At 35.4% G+C, this 18,311-nt stretch overlaps 1 long non-coding RNA gene and 1 pseudogene across 1 annotated transcript in view, besides 1 other annotated feature; both read right to left on the minus strand.

Moving 5' to 3' along the window:
• LINC00437 (long intergenic non-protein coding RNA 437) overlaps positions 1–18,311 on the minus strand; it is a 154,676-nt gene that overhangs the window by 80,738 nt on the left and 55,627 nt on the right. The window lies entirely within an intron of this gene.
• On the minus strand, positions 4,685–5,260 carry PRDX3P3 (peroxiredoxin 3 pseudogene 3; annotated as a pseudogene).
• Positions 11,984–12,545: an enhancer, noted in NCBI's record as "OCT4-NANOG hESC enhancer chr13:39198858-39199419 (GRCh37/hg19 assembly coordinates)". NCBI's record gives its function as "activates a minimal SCP1, AML or CMV promoter by ChIP-STARR-seq in naive H9 embryonic stem cells {active_cell/tissue: H9 hESC(naive)}" and the evidence as "EXISTENCE:reporter gene assay evidence [ECO:0000049][PMID:30033119]".

The raw sequence follows: 18,311 nt of genomic DNA on the forward strand, positions 1-18,311 counted from the left end.
TAATGTCATTGTATTTTAAACTTTCTGATTTTGATTTACCAAAGGAATTGGTAAATTTGAAGGAAGCAATAACCATCTTCAAAATTCACACTTTTAAATTAGTGTCTTTTTCTATATATCATTCATAACTATAGTTTATCCAATTTATTTTTATCAAATACCTACTCTCCCCCAGGCTCTGAACACAGAGGATAGAGCAATAAAATAAAACAGTGAAAGTATTAAAAAGTATTCTGATGGAGTTTGCATTCTATAAGGGTAGAAAAAGAATAAACAAGTATATAAAATGAAAGGTAGGGATTAAGTGCCTTGAGAAAGAAAATGGTAGGATGATGAGAATAGGGGTGGGAGTTGCCCCTATTCTCCCTATGGGAAAGTGATGTGATATCAGCAGACTACGGCCAGGGGAGATTACTCTAGGGTGAGATATGACCCAAAATTTGAAGGAAGTAAGAGAAAAGGCCACAAGGATATCTGACTGTGATGGCTTTTTTGAGGTGTCAGCTTGGCAAAGCTACAGTTCCCAGTTATTCAAACACTAATCTAGGTGTTGCTGTGAAGTTATTTTGCACGTTAATTAAACTCCCGAGGCAGTTGATTTTAATAACGCATATCATCCTGGAAAATAATGGTTGACTCAACTTAATCAGTTGAAAGGACTTAAAAGTAGGACTGAGACTTCCCAGAGAGAGAAAAACAATTCTGCCCATAACAGCTTCAGCCCATGCCAGTGGAATTCCGCCATGCTTACTATGCTCCCTCCCTGGCCACCTGCCTGCCCTACGATGTTCAGATTGGCTTAGCCAAGCCCCTCAAGTGCCAATCCCATGTACTAAACAGTTTTATGTCCTATGGGTTCTATCTCTCATTGAACTCTGGCTGATACACTTGAGAAGAGCATTCCAGGCCCTGAGTTAAGAAGTTGCTTGGCAGGTCCGGGAGACAGCACAGAGGCCACTGTGGCTTCAGCAAAGGGAGCAGACAGGAATGGTGGGAGAAATAAATAATTTTTGCTCTGGACACATTAGACACCGAAGTGGAGAAGCCAAATGGGCATTTGGATAGATCTATCTAGAGTTTGGGACAGAGTCTGGATTGCAGATATAAATTTCAATCTTTATGTACTGCTCTCTTATTCAAACTATTCTATAGTAGCAACCCAATTTCCTGTAGATAATACCAAACATCCCGATAACCTCAGGAAGTCAAGTAACTTTTTTTGTAAAATGTGATGCCATTCAAACTAAGGTATTCAACAAGTAACATAGTCAATGCCAAAACCTCTAATCCTTCTGTGAAAAACGCAGGACATAAAAATACATAACACTAAACATCAAGATGCTGTGACATTTTGCTATAAGACTAGAATATGGGACAAGTATAAAACATAGATTACAAGCTTTCCTTATAATAAAAATGTGCTTCATATATATGGTTATGCTTAAAGGATACATTATCATTGGGAAATAGAAGAGGAATAAAACATTTTTGTAGTTTCATAATTGCCTAAAAGTTTTTTATACAGATGTATGGGCTTTGAAGAAGTTGGCTTGAAATGAAAAAAAAAAGCATGTTTATTCTTAACTCCTTTGTGAAAATGTTTTAAGGTAGCTAATTCTTCAGGAAATATGGCATGGTCCACTGCCAGTTAGAATAAATTAATGCATCATTTTCCCCGGGAAATATCTCACACCTGTTTCTAATATTTGTTCCTTTGGACTAATTCCATGCACTTGGTTCACTGATTTCTCCTTTTTAGGTCTCCCTAGTCAAAAAGAGTAGGGCATGACTACTAAACCCAGGTGGTCTAGAAATCTTCGTCACTGTTGAATTGTGGTTGACCCTAGTGGGTTGGGGTGGATACGTTGTTTAACAAAACACACCACCCACCTTCTTTAAAGACGGAGACCACACAGTCCTACTTTCTCCATTCACATAGTTGGCTAATAAGATGCAAACATTAATGTTGCTTCTTCAAAGAGAATAATACAGCAACTTTCAACCTAAACATGAACTTTTATGCTCCAAGGAAAGCAGGCAGTGCTAAATCTCTTTTTGTGGTTCTGAAATCCAACTAAAGACAACCTGAAAAAAAAAGTGGTGGACATTTGAATGAATTTATCCTGACAATGTAGTGAAGCTATATTTCCATTTCTGTAGTGAATTTCTGCCATTTGATTGAAAGCCATAAAAGCAGAAATAAATTGGATCTTGGATTCATTCATGCATGCAGGCAAAAAAACATTTATTCAATGTTTATTTTGAAAGACAGAATCCTTGCTTTTATAAAGGCCACATCTCATGAGAAAAGCAGCTAAAACCACTACAGAAATATGACCAGTGTTAGAAAAGAGTTTGCAGGGAGAGTTTGCTACTGAATCACAAAGAAAGGAGAATCTTGGGATGAAGGAAAATCATGGATAATAGTCCAGGAGATTTAAGCTAAGTTGAGCCTTGGGACCAGTAGAAGCTAGTTAAGTGGTGAGAGTTTTCCATGATGAAGATAAAATCTGGAACGTCAGAAGTAGTGACTGCGTTCAGAGGATTTTAGGCAATTCTATGGGGCTGGCACATGGCCATTTGTGGAAATTGGGTGACAGATGGCAAGAGATAATAGCTGGATAGGCAGGTATTTAATAACGAGTTCATCATAGCTACACTTGGTTATTTGGATTTTGTCTAAAGGCTTGGTTAGCCTCTGAAAGATTTTATACTGTAAGGTCACATGCTTGCATGCACATTTTAGGTGCTCTGGCAGCCTTGCGTTGATTGGGAGGGTGTCAGGTTGGAGATAGGACAGATATGGAATAAGCATCATAAATAAGATAGTGATAGTGGGAATAAAAGAAAAGAGGTGAATTTAGGAAATATGTAAGGGAAACTTCAAAGAGTTTTTATGACATGTTTCTAAATATAACAAAGTATATTAGCAAACTAGGGCTGCCATAACAAAAAATACAGACTGAGTGACTGAAACAACAGAAGTTTGTTTCTCAAAGATCTGGAGGCTGGACGTCCAAGACCAAGGCATCAGTAAGTTTTTGTTTTTCCTGAAGCTTCTCTCCTTGGCTTATGGATGGCTGCATTCTCTCTGTGTCCTCACATGGCCTTTCCTCTGTGCATACCCCCGGCATCTCTTCCTCTTCTTATAAGGACACCAATCCTATTGAATTAGAGCCCCATCCTTATCATGTAATTTAACCTTATATACCTTCTTAAGGGCTCTGTTTCCGAACAGTCACGTTGGGGTTAGGCCTTCAACATATGAACTTTGAGGGCCATAATTCTGTCCAGTACTAAATGAGGACTGTTCTCAAATTTTAGAGAGTATGAATCACATGATTAGATTTCTGGGGATATGAAGATGACAATCACATGGCTCTAAAACCTTGGTGAGAGCCTCTACATCTTTTCCCCATCCTCCAGATAACCAGTAAGGATTTGAGGGTCTGGAGAGCACACAGTCACAGGACGGGGCAGCCTGTGTGTTCCTGGGTGAAGACAAGGAAGAGCAGGGCCCTTACGTTCCTGTACTGAGCTGTCACGGGAGCAAGGGAAGAGATGCTATTTTTAAAATACATTGAAAAATAGTTATATTGAATAAATTGATATTGAATTTGAATGAAATGAGCACAATAACTACATAAACTATAAATCTCAGGGGTAAGGATCATTCACAATCAGTTAAGTGATTTTGCCACTGGAAGTGATATTTTAAAACATGATTACCCTTTGTTTCAAGCACATCCACATCCACTGCAAGAGTTAAATTAGACTGCTGATGCTAATAATCTAAAACTACAATCTTTGTTACCTTAAAAGAAAATGTCGTTTACTACTAGGAATTCAAGAGGAATATTTTAGGACCTTTGATCAGAAGCTTTCAATGCTTGCAATACTACTTTGGTATACATAAAAGTTCAACTAAGACTAGGAAAGAATGTTTCCTTTTTCTATTGAAGACAGGATCTTAGAAGTACTCAAGTGAGCTACGTGTCTTTTTAAGTTTTATTTTATTTTTAATTGACATAAATAATTGTACTATTTATGGGGCACAATGTGGTGTTTCCATGAGTGTATACATCGTGCAGTGATCAAATCGGTGTAATTAGAAAATTTATTACCTTAAACATTTACCATTTATTGTAGTGAGAACTTTCAAAATCTTCTTTTCTATATAGGAACTAGCTAGACAACAACATATTACCAATACATGACTCTCTTATATTAGCAACAAACCAAATTTGAAAAGCCTTAGGCAATATTACAAAAACAAAACATTTAGAGTAATATTTTTAAAGTTTTGAAAATTTCTTTAGTTGTATAATTATAATTGACAAATTATATTTGTATATTCTCATGGGGTAGAAGATATAATCTTATAATCTAAGAATGCAATGTAGAATAATTAAATCAAGTAAATTAACATAACAATCATCTCACATGCATCATTTTTGTGGTGAGAACATTTGAAATTTACTCTCTTAAGAATTTTGAAATGTACTGTGTTATTGTTTACTATATTTACTATACTGTGCAATATACATTTATAGTAATATTTATGAATTCCAACATATTAGATTTATCAGCTTCTATAAATAATCATCTTTGAAATGATAAAAATCGGTTCTACCTGTGATTCTTTTCTGACATGAGAAGTTGCAGGTGCATATGAGATGATCTACTGACTTTTCTTCTCAAGGTATTCTTTGGAAGCAGTGGGATTTGGCTTGGTTGTAGAAGAACTCAGTATCTAGTTTGCCAGGCAGACTTCTCGTGGATCTCCAGCAACTGGAATGCCTTCACCAAGAAGGCAGTCTCTTCCATGCTTCAGCCACTGGGAGATCATTGACACTCAAATACTTGAAGATTTCCACTGGGAGTCAGTTATGAAAAGACCTGTTAGTGGAAGGTCAGGACCTCCTACCAGCACATCATAGTCTCAGGAAATCTGTTTATTTAAATCTGACAAGTGTATAATGCTTATATGGCCCAAACTGGCTTTCCTTGGTGTATATACTTAGACATGATGGTTATAGTGAGAATCCACTGAAACTGCACCAGCTTCACAGTTCACATTATGAAATGTGTTGGCTTTCTCACTCAAAGCAATAATTTCTGTAGGACACACAAAGGTGAATGCCAAAGGATAAGAGAAGAGCATGAAATATTTTTTTAAGTCAAGCCTAAAGTCAAGGCTTAGTTCTTTGAACTCTTCCCTGGCAATGGCAATATACTTAAAATAGTAGGTTTCTGAGGAACTTACCCATTCATTCACTCATGCAATTGAAGAATGTAGCAAATGTGTACTGAGAACCTTCACTGTGCCAGCTTTGTGTAGAAAAAAAAAGGTTTGAAGTAATGTAAAGTGTTTGTTCCTGCTGTCTTTTGTTCTGTACGGAGTTATACTAAGTAGATAGTGGAGAGCAAAGCAAACTTGCAACCACTTTCCTTTCTTAAAGAAGAAACATTGAAGGGGCCAGCTGCTACATGCATTGCTCATCTTCACAATGTGTACTATGTCCTGACAAAGTGTGAGGAATATTAAATACCATACTCTATGTCACAAAAATGTTTCCTGATAATTCAGAATAATGGAGAAACAATTCATTTTGAGACATACTGAGACAAATTTATGCTCGGTCAATTTTTAAAATTTAAATTTTCTGTTAAAAATCATAAAAGCAAAAAGAAAGCATGGAAACTAATGAAATAATATGACATTTTACAAAGAAATTTCCTCATAAGTCGTCTTTCCTCATGTAAAGATAACATCAGACAGCTAAGCATTCCAAAAATGCTAAAATGCTTGAAGCTTTGGTCTTACAAATACCTAGCATTTGTCACCCTTCTAAGAGATTTTAGCGATCAATAAGGTCCCCATATCTCATCTTATTTTTGTTCTTTTTAGAAGATGAAACATTCCCTAAACCTGCCCAGAAATAATGGCAAAATTAAAACTAAAAACCCAAGTTATCTGCCTCCTAGTCTAAAACTCTTTCTGCCTAATTATGATTCCCTTTAGTAAAGTATTTTTAAATGTTTTTTCAGCTTATCATTTCTACCAATCTCATCCAAAATATTTATTTCAACACAGTATTATCAAAAAGTAATCTGATTTTACATTATCCAAAAAATAATTCACAAACTATATGCAACCTTTAACTTTTGTAGACTATAATTCCAACATATAACTGGGTCTTACAAGTATATCCCTATTACTCTGAGCTTGCAATATGTATTTTATAGAAAAGAGGCAATCATCACCCATGGCTATGTCCAGGGAACGCCAAGGAAAAAAATAGGACAAATTTGGCAAGTCTTGCTAAACACAATGTTACAAAAACCCTGTGATGAGCCAATTTCAGAAAGAAAATAATGTAGTGCTAGAGAAAAATGACCTTAAAGAAACACTGAGGCTAGAGTTTTCTGAGATGTCTAATTAGTTTTTAAAGAAAAGCTCTGTGTGTATTTGCCCTGTGTGTCTATTAGGTTTAAGAACTGGTAATGTGTTAGCATAATAAGCAGCTTTAATTAATTGCCAGAGTTGAATTATCTGACTATATATCTTTTCAGGAGGCTTATAGTCTGCTGAAGAGAATAATATTCCTGGAAGGTGGAAGTGCATCACTCAAGTAAATGACTATGGGCATCTGTTTGTCTGCTCTAGAACCTCCATGCAAGTTTAGGGTTCATTCTAAGGTGGTTGGAGTATTTTCAGTAAAGGCTTTAAAAATTCATTATGTGTAGGATATTTTATTTCACACAGGGAAAGAATAGAATCATTCAATGGTAATGGATTAGTGTTGGATATGCCAGTATGAATTCATGTTTAGCTAAACATAAATACATATGGTTACCTATAGAAATATGTATAAAAATGTATATATATATATATAGTTGGTACACACACATATATTTTCATTTCTCATCAGCCCTAAATTAATGATACCCCAGTAGCAAAGAGCATACCTATGCCTGGCTCCAGGTTTCTTATATTATTCTCCAGAAAAGGAACCAGGATTTCTTAGAGTAATGCTGATTTGAGGATTGGGGAAAAAATATACAAGATCAGCCTGGAGTAGTGTTAGAAAGAAGTGTTAACAAAAAATTATGGAGATATGACAAAGGGACACAAAAGTTGGCTGAAAGATCCATCAATGACCAAAGCTGGAACAATTTGAGCAGAAAAATTAAGTAGCATTGAACTATAACCCAAAGCATGAAATAAATACCCATGAGTTCATAGTAATATAAATGATTAAAAATAAATAAGTGAGGGAAGAATAGACAAATGTACTACGCAAAAGAATCCTACAGACAGTCTGCTCTTAAAGAGGTGGAACATAATTCCCCGCTCCTTATGGGTAGGCTATGCAAAGTGATTTCCTTTCAAAGAGTAGAGTGTGAAAAGAGGAAAAAGAATAACTTTGCTGGGGAGAAACCTGACCAAAAACTGTCTCAGCTAGGTAATCAAGGTTAACATCAACAGTGGTAGGTCACGTTAATTGTATGTACACTTCATATGATGTGATGAGAATGGCGCTTTACCTCAGTGGTCTTTCTCCCAAGAACACATAAGTGAAGTCTAATCACAAGAAAAACATCAGACAAAGTCCGGTTGAGGGACATTATACAAAGCTTCTAAGCAGTACTCCTGAAAACAAGCAAGATTGTCAAAAACAAGATAATTCTGAGAAACTGTCAGAGCCAATAGGAGCCAAAGAAGACATGACAACTAATGTAATGTGCTATCCTGGATGGGAGCCTGAATAAAGTACAGTGTTGAATTTAGTTTATAATAGTGTGTCAATATTGGTTCGTTAATTGTAACAAATATAACAAATACACCAAACTCATGTTAGATGTTAATAATAGGGGAAGTTGAGTGGGAATATATGGAAACTCTACTATCTTCATAATTTTTCTCTAAATCTGAAATTGTGTTAAAATAAAAGTATACATCTGAATACATATACATACATAATAAAAGTATGCATATGAATACATATACATACATAAACATATACACATTTCATATATACATATACATATGTATATGTATATACATATATATGGTTTGGAAACCACTGAACTATGATATGCAATATAGTCTGAAATTGTATTGTATGATAAATTTCAAATAATACAAGAACTGCCTATCTTGTTTATCAGTGTTTCTCTAGTACGTTATACAGCGCTTGTCACAGATTTTTTTTTTTTCTTTAGAGGCAGAATCTTGTTCTGTCACCCAGGCTGGAATGCAGTGGCATGATCATAGCTCACTGGAGCCTCAAATTCCTGGGCTCTAATAATGCTCCTATCTCAGCCTCCTGAGTAGCTGGGGCTGCAGGCACATACCATCACACAATTAGCCTGGCAAATGTTTTCGTTTTTTTTGTAGAGACGGGGTCTTGCTTTGTTGCCTGACTAGTCTCAAACTCCTGGCCTCAAGGAATCCTCCTGCCTCAGCCTCCCAAAGTGCTGGGATTACAGGTATGAGCCACTGTGCCTAGCAAAAAAGAAAAAAATTCTTTAAAAAATACTCATTGAATGGATATAGATACAGAACTATGCGTATTTGTGTATTCATGCATGTCTATATATCTTACAATTTATATGTATGTAATTATATATCATTTTCTATGTTAAATGTTTCACATATGTAATATTAACTGAATCTGTGATAATTTAGAAATGTGTTCAATTGAAGTCCCCAAATGACTCCCCAATCTACTTGTATCAAGGTTCCAATTTAATGTTTTTCAAATAATTTGCATGATTGCAAACAGTAGTTTGCCTACCAGTGTATAAAACTTAAAAATGATCACGTGTCACTCAACAAGGGCTCATTCATTGTATGTAATGCACTTCCTTGTGGATTTCCTTGAGGTACTTGATCTATCTTCTGACTCTAAATTCCTCTAAATGCCCACAGGCCTAATTTTAGTTGAAGAATGTCACGTTAATTTAGAGAATTGTTTTGAACTAATTTATGTTTACATATGCTTGGTGTAACCTTGAGTCCTATGCTCTTTGTGATTAGTATTCACGTTTGTAAGTGTGCTGGCCAATATATATATTATAATTGTCATTTTCCTGAGGCAGTGATTTTGATCCATGGTCACAAAATCAAAATTTTCCTGACAGGCACTGAGGGTCTGGATACAGGGAAGGTGTGTATAATCTCTTGCTCATTGGGGCCAGTAGTACATGGATTCCGGCTGTATATGTGTCTCAGCAGTTTAAAAACTTTTGTCACTTTTTATCTCAACTTTCTCTTTACTGAGGCATGCTTGAACATTTGGCTTTCTCAGTCTCTCTCTCTCTCTGTGTGTCTGTCTCTTTCTCTCTCTTCTTATTTGTACTTTGATAAATGACTAGGCCTCTCATACTGTTTTTGAGTCTTCAATTGGGGTGAAATTAATACATTTAGTAATAGTAATTAATAAATGGGGGTAGGCTGTTTCCAGTTTTGAACTCACAGTATATTTATTATTTTATAAGATACATAAAGATTTTTCTCTCCATTTATATGGTATTCACTAACTAAAGCATTGAAAGCATTAACTACAATACAGTGCTATCACCATATACAGTTATAGCTTCTATTTTATGTGAATAACTTCATGGTTATTTTCATGGCTTTTCTTATTGCACAGGACTATGAGAAGAAAACATATTTTATAAACTGCCATGGATGGTGTCTCTAATGCACTCACACCTGATCCATGACGTGTGACACAGCTGCTCCTGAATGGGTTCAGATACTTGATACTTATGTGTATTTTATGTCATCTGTCAGCAACCTGACCAGTTGTGGCTTATGTGGCAAATGACAGACAGAAAATGTTTATTGTGTCTTAACATGTGCCTTTCGGGGAAGATCTACTTAACATTCATTCAGTTATTAATAAATTAGATGGACATTCATTGAATATCTAGTGTACTTAATGCATTATCATGAGTGATATTGAGTGTAATATTAAGGTTCGCTTTCTTTTATGCTCACAAATATTAACTAAATAAGCTATTGAAACAGGCAACAACGTGGGTGAATCCCAAAAACAGTAGGTCATGTGAATGAAGCCAACACATATTATAAGAAATTGCCAAAACATGCTGCAAAGTTGAAAGAATTTTAGAGAGAACATAGATATACCTACCACCTAGTCATAGGATGACTTTTACATGAAGTCCCAGAAGAGGCAATGCTAATCTCTGGTGGCAAAGAGTCAGAATGGCAGTTGTTTCCAGAGAAGCAATAGCAGGAATTGACTAGAAGGAGGCATGAGAAAACTTCCTAAAGTGCTGGGCATGTTCTTTTCATTTAAATATTTTTTAACTGGCAGATAAAAGTTTATGTATTTATCATGTATAACATGATGTTTTGAAGTATTTATACATTGTAGAAGATTAAGTCTAGCTAATCAACCTATACATTACCTTATATAGTTATCATTTTTGCAGTGAGAACACTTAACATTCACTCTCTTAGCACTTTTCAAACATGCAATATATTATTTTTAACTATAGTCACAAGATACAAAATTTCAGTTAGATAAAAGAGCATATATTATTTCTATTTCTTAAGCGAATGTATCCTAAAGATTTGGACATTCCATTATATGTAACTTCTAAATTAAAATCATTTTTAAAGTAAGTTCTAATTAACTTTATGCATACCAAAGTATTCAGGAAAAAGTATATTTATCTCTGCATCTACTTTAAAATGCATCAAAAATAAGATGGAGCAACACATATTAAAACAATAAATGGTAGAAACTGGATGGTAGGTATAAAGAGGTTCTCTGTGAAATTCTTTCAACTTTGCAGTATGTTTTGAAAATTTTTCATATGTTAAAAGTGGCCTTTCAAAAAAATTAAATGATTGTGTTAATATTGAAGCTTACTTTTTCATATTTACTATTATATTGGCATTTTTAGAATTATTGTATAAATTTTTATTAGATATTCTTCAGAAGAGATCTCTGATTGTTACTTCTTCATGGCAAAGGTTATAAGAATCAAACAAAACAAATGCTAAGTTCCTATTTGTATTCAATGTCAGAAACTTAGAGTTAGTTGCACCATGAAAAGTCACATGGTCCATTTCCCACACCAGTCTTCTAAGTCAGAGAGTATCCTTAGCCATCAATGCTATAATACATGATGTTCGCTAGTCCCCCGGTGTTTGCTGCTTCTGACATTAACAGAAATTTAAATCCTTCATAGTTACAACATCTGGTTAGCACCAATGGAAGGAAAGATCATTTGGATATAGAAGCCAGGCCATATAGCAACATTTATCTTTTTTCAAAATAGAAAGTGCATGGATTTTGTTGGATCAAGAATGTTAACTGTCTTCATCATACACTAATTAAGACCATTAGTTATCAATGCCTCTCATTCCATAGAGAGGGTCCCAGTGGATAACTTCCAACAATTTATTTTATAGATTTTGTTCATTAGTATTTCATAAGATGCTGGTATTGCCAAGTGTTTTAACTTACAGAAATGGAGACATTCTAAAAGACAGCCCAGAACAACTCAATTTTTTCATAATAGCACTCACTCCAATAACCACATAAAAATTCAAAAGTTCGATAAAAATTATTTTCTTCACATATTGGAATTCAGTTGCTACGTTTTATCCAGCAATCTCATTGCCAAAGGAAATGAAATCAGTATGTTGAAGAGGTATTTGTATGCCCATGTTCACTGCAGCATTACTCACAATAACCAAGATATGAAATCAACCTAAGTGTTCATCCCTTAGTGATGAAACGATAAAGAAAATGCAGTATATATACACAATAAAATGATATTCAGCCATAAAAAAAGAGAAGAAAATTCTGTCACTTGTGACAACATGGGTGAACCTAGAGGACATTAAGTTAAGTGAATTAAATCAGGCAAAGAAAGACAAATTGATACAGGAGATATAAATTATTTAGGCAGATAGTGAGGGTAAAAGAGTCCTTGGCAAGGCTTCCGTTCTAACAAAAAGCAGCCCGAGAAATGATTGTTTTCTAACAAAGAGCAGCCTGAAAAATTGAGCTCCAAACATAGATAAGCAAGCTGGAAGCTTCCGTGGGTGAATGCCAGCAGCTGTGCCAATCGAAAAACGCTACCAGGGGTCGGGCATATTCAACATGGAGGCTGCATTTTCCCTTTTATTTGTTACCACGTGCACAGTAAAAAATCAGGCACCATGGCGCTTGCCAGGTAGAAAACCCATCTGCATAATAAAAGATTAGGGTGGGGACAACCAGCTTTTTGTGCCCTATGCAAATGGCACACCTAGCCCTAACCAGTTTTTCGTGCCTTATGCAAATAGCACACCTGGTCTGACCCATCTTTCCTGCCCTCTGTAAATCAGACACTACCTTCTCAAGCTCATTTATAAAGGCTACTACTGCATTTCACCGCGGAAGTGGAAATGCATTCAGGACCCCGCTTTCTGCAGGAGAGAGCTCTTCTTTTTCTTTCGCCTATTAGACCTCCGCTCTTAACCTCACTCCTTGTGTTTCTGTGTCCTTGATTTCCTCAGCGTGAGACAACGAACCTTGGATATTACCCCAGACAAACGAGGCTGCTTCAGAATATCACACGTTCTTATTCATATGTGGAATCTAAAAGAGTTGATTTCATAGAAATGGAGATTAGAATGGTGTTTACTAGAGGCTGGAATGGTTATGTTGGATGAGGGGATTAGGAAGATGTTGGTCAAAGGATATATACTTACAGTTAGAGAGCAGGACTCAGATCAAGACATCTACTGTACAGCATGATGACAATACTGACGACATACTGTACCCTTAAAAATGCTAATGAACTGGATGTTAAGTGTTCTCACTACAAAAATAACTGTGAGGTAAATGCATTTGTTAATTAGCTAGACTTAATCATTCCACGATGTATATATACTTCAAAATAGCATGTTATGCAAAATAAATACATACAATTTTAAAAATAAAATGTTAAGAGTAAATAAATTCACCATGTTTTGTTTTGCTTTGTTTTTCTCTAATAAATTACAGCATTCAATTAATAAATAACGTATTTTCTCATTGCTGGTCTAATTATTTTTCTTTCCTATAAAGATAGTCATAGCTGACAGGTTGATCTTATAGTTGGCAGCCAGGTATGAAAGTAACAATATATTTCAATACATACAAATGTAAAATGATGCCATAATACAATTATTATCATTTTCTCATATCTAATATATATTGTATAATAAGCTATACTTTTATATTTAATTTTAATCTACTAATTATACTTTAGTATAATCCCTTATTCTTTTATCCAACTGACATGCATTGAGTACTTAACTGTGCCAGGCATTCTGAGTGCTGGAATCAGACTTATAAAAAGTCCTAATCAGGAATCTATTAAATGGAGATGGCTCAGGGAAGAGACCCTTAGCACAATTCAGAGGACAAGCAAAAGTAAAGTTATGAAAGCGTTGTATATTCAAGGAAGACTATTTCACTGCTCTTGGGCCACAGAAGCACATAAATAGGATGGAGAGATGATGAGCCTGGAGAGACAGGCTTGGAAGAGATGAGGTAGGCCTTATATGTTAAGCTAAGGAGTTGGTTCTACACCATGAAGACAGTAAGGAGGCACTGAAAAATTGTGAGTATTTGAGTGCTACAAACAGAAATGTTTATGAATTCTGCCTGACTAAAGCCTAATAGTTATGGTCTCTGGGCATGCAATGCTGTTTTAGGGCTCCATCTATCTCCCCTTCTTGAATGTAGGCTCTTGCCAGCACTGAGGCCATGTTCTATTCCAGACATGCTGACTGGTTCGACTCCTCCCTACCTTATGCGCCTTGTTGCTCCTGCTGTCTTGATATGTGCAGCAAGCTCATGATTTTGCTTCATGAAAAATGAGGTGGTAGAGGAATGCTAATGATAGTGTATATGATGTTCACGATGTTCCCAAGGTGTGAAGTAGAACATCATAGCTATTAAGAGTATGAGATTTGGGCTTCCATCTGCAGTGTTCAAAACCTGGTTGAGTTAGCTAGGCAAGTTAAGTAACATTTTCTTATCCATAAAAGAAATTGTAACAGTAAGTTTAAGACCTAACTACTAAAACAGAGGCCCCAAAATGTGATATCTTAAACAAATTAGAAGTTTATTTCTTCTCTGTAACAGTCACTTATGTTCATATTCTATTAGTGCAATAGAGTTGTAGAGGAGATTTGGAAAGCATTCTGTCATATGCCCAGCTAAAACTCAGGAGTCATTAAGGAGGGGGGATGGTTGGGGGCAGCTGCAGGCTCTGCTATTAATAAAATGATAAGTGTACAAAGCTACCTTGTAATCTGCTGTATTTCATATGATCATGTGTAATGTTAGACATGGTAACTGGCATAAACAAGATATATAGTTGTAGCTTACATTTGTAATAATTATTATCAGCATTTTACATGAACATACATCCAAAGGAAGACTTGCTATTCAATTGGCTCTGGGCTTAGAAAAAAAAACTGTGTTGTCAACTGAAAAGCAGTTATAGCATTAGTAGGGTTCCCAAAAATCTATTAGAGTCCCTTTCAGTAACTGTTATTCAACTTCAGCAGTCTGATATTATTTTTTCCCCTGTTTTAGTTCAAGATTCCAAGAATAGTTACATTGCATTCAGAGATTCTTAGCAGAATAAAGTTCTGTTTCCATGACTAGCTATAATGGATTATTTAAAGGGAACAAGTGAATTATGTGTACTTTGCAGCAGAATTGTTAATTGCCAACAGAAATTATATCTTAATATTTACTTCCTAAAATCATTCTCTTAAGATAACTGAAGTATTTTTTCATTTTAGCTTCAAGGCTCATTGTCAATGAAATTTTTTAAAACTACATATATCCAATACATTTTTAAAAACATGTTTGTGAGAAAAAATTAAAAGTAGAATTGTTATATAATCCAGTAATTCTACTTCTCAGTATATATTCAAAAGAATTAAAAGCAGGAATTCAAACATGTACCACCATGTCCATAGCAGCATTATACACAATAGCCAAGATACAGAATCAACTTCAGTGTCTATCAACAAATAAATGGATAAACATAATGTGGTATATACATATGAAACCGTGCCCCAAAGACTTAAGGAAACCAATGGCCAAATTCTTAGGTTTACAGGATAGTAGATAAGAGAAGAAACAATATGCTGAGATGCCTAAACTCAAACTCTGCCCCCAAAGAGTAAGAAAACAGTAACTAACAAAAATTCTTGAGTTTACAGGACAACAGAAAAGAAACAGCCTGGTCAGACACTGAAACTCCCTCTGCTTGTGAGATCAAAAAGAACCTGGGCCAGGTGAAGTGGCTCATACCTGTAATTCCAGCACTTCGGGAGGCTGAGGCAGGAGGATTGCTTGAGCCTAGGAGTTTGAGTCCAGCCTTGGCAACATAGCAAGACCCTGTCCAGCTATTCAGGAGGCGGAGGCAGGAGAATCACTTGAACCCAGGAGGTGGAAGTTGCAGTGGGCCAAGACGACACTACTGTACTCCAGCTTGGACCACAGAACACGACAGTCTTTAAACAAATAAATAAAATAAAATAAATAAAGATGATTGTTTCCCAGTTAATTATCTTGGCACACTCTCAAGGTTCCATTATAACTATTAAATCAGGGTTAGATAGCTAACATAAAATGGTTAATCTACAGGCTTGCCAATGATAATGAAGTGACCTGAGTTCAAAACATTCTACCCAAGTAAGAAAGAGCTAGGTCAATGAGATCGTTTCCTCTTGGAAATTCAGATAGGGACATACTAAAAGAATTGGACCATTAGTAACTGGAAGAGAAACTAAAGAATTATGAGGAAAAAAAGTTTGTTATGTAATAATTATGAATGAGCTGAATTATTAAGAAGAGATGCTATAGGTAGAGAAAATATGGATGGAGTAGAGAATGATCTCTTTGATCTGTCATTTCTGAGAGGAAATGACAAAATGACCCCAGAGATGCAGAATCTAAAAGAGCTGAGTCATGTTTAAGGCAGAAGGAGAGATGACATAGACGCTGTTGCTAAGGGTCTTATACAACAGTTATTATTCTTGAATTCCTAAGAACCCTTCCTCCTGTTAGCCACAGAGATTTGTTAGTCCTTGTGACCAAAATGACCATCCATATTTGTGCCACTGTTAAATCTATGGGCTTTTTGAAACACTCTTAAATGAAATGAAAAGGAACAGTTTATGTTAGTGGTATCTGGCTCAAAAGTTCCACAAATGCTACTTTCTCTGACGTAGTCCCAGACTTCCCTTGTAGGTTTCATAGGTACTGCCATCATTTTATAATTATCACAGAAGCCCCAAGTCATCCTGTTAACACAAGGATGCATGGCAATCTAAGTCATAACTAAAATTCCTTTGATGTCGGGAGTAAATACTGTAATAAATTATGTATCAAACTTAACTGATGAACAAATGGAGCCCATCTAACTAACCTCTCCCTTCATATTTTCTATTCATCCATCACAGTTTTTAAAAATTAATCTTAGAATCTTTCTTTCTACTCAAAAAAATATTTTGGATCAAATATGATACTTATCTTTTTTTCACTTAGGATAAATCATATTGAAAATTAATGCACACAGATGCCATGAATACATGAGTATACATAGTCATTCTCTTAAACTCATTACGATCACCCTTTTGTCTTTGATTTCAAGTAATGCTGAGTCTTTAAAAAAAAAAATCTCACTTGCCAATAGATTACGTGTGAGAAGATAAACCTCCAGCAATGCAACTTTGCAAGAAGGCAGTAATATTCAGACAATTCAGACAAGAGTGATGGGGTAGAACTGAGATTCTAGGCAAAGTTCCCAGGTAGGGTACAATAGTAACATTCTTGAAGATTTAGAACTTCATTCAGATTTTTCTGAATGTTGACTTTGCTGCTTAAAATTAGTACTATATAAATCCTATATTTTCTGTGAAAATAATTGTTAAAATTGAGGCAGTTTCTATCACTGAACTAACTATCCAGTGCAGCATATGTTTGTTAAGCACATGTTGTGTATAGACACTGTGCTGCTATACGACAAGGTGCCAGGAAGAAAAAGAATCCATTTCTATACTGAAGAACCTCATGATCTATAGCAGGGAGAAATTTATAGGCAATTCCTTGACCTAAAAAAGAAAGCCCTAGATGCTGTTTTCTGAACCACCTGGAATCAGTAAAACTGCTGGAGTTCAAACTTCATCTCTATAAACCTAATCAAGTTACTTAAACTATCTAATCACCCATAAAGTGGGGAGAGGTAACAGTTCCTACTTCATAATGTCTTGGAGATGATTCTATGAAGAGACAATGGGATGACAGATGTGCTTGTCACAGATTAGGCAATAGTACGACCCAATGAACATTAACTATTATCTTCAAAATTTTAATAATTATTTTAAACCTTCAGATACAATATGATTATTATTTAACAATATTGCAAAGATATTGGCTCGGTTTTTAGTTTTAATAGACACAGCCTCTTGTTAATTTGGCACAGTTTAATTCCAAACCCATCTCTCTAATGTATATCATCACGAATGTATAATTAAAGAGCTATGCAACTCAATTTCAGCTAAAGAAAAATTATTCTTTGTACTTTCAAATGATGTTTAATGTTATATAAATATTTTGAATATAACCCCCACCTTCTAGGTCTTCTGGATCGAAGTAACACAATGTTATGTATGCTATAGAGAGCTATTCCCATAAGAAGACTTTATAACATTGATTTTAATGAACATTTTTAAATAACCTAAGTCCTTAATTCTCATTAAGGGGAAATCATATATCATGTCAACGATGAGTCACCTTAAATGAACTATAACTGTTCTCCATTCACCATCCCAATTTTCTGCTTCCCCTGTAGCCACACTTCTTAAAATACTTATACCTCAGATTTACAATTCTTTACTTTCCATTGGTCTTCAAACAGACCAGTCTGCCTTTCCTTGTCACCTCCCCATTTAAACTCTCTTATCAAAGAACCAAGAATTTCACTGTTAACACATTTATAGACATGGTTCTTTCCCTCATCACATTCAATTTTCCAGCAGCATTTGATTCAATTGATAATTTCTTCTCTCTGAAAAGTTCCGATCACATCATAGGCTTCTCTTGGGTGAAACATAATACTCAGTAGTGTGCTGGCAAATATTTAAAAGCCGATTCTCTGGGGGAAAAGCCCGAACTGTAGTGTTGGCCAATTTTCGTAGTTTACATACTTCTGTCATGACTGATTTCAAGCTGCCAGTGTAACATGGCTAAGCAGGGTAGAAA

Source organism: Homo sapiens, chromosome 13 (assembly GCF_000001405.40).
Source record: "Homo sapiens chromosome 13, GRCh38.p14 Primary Assembly".
Lineage (NCBI taxonomy): Eukaryota > Metazoa > Chordata > Mammalia > Primates > Hominidae > Homo > Homo sapiens.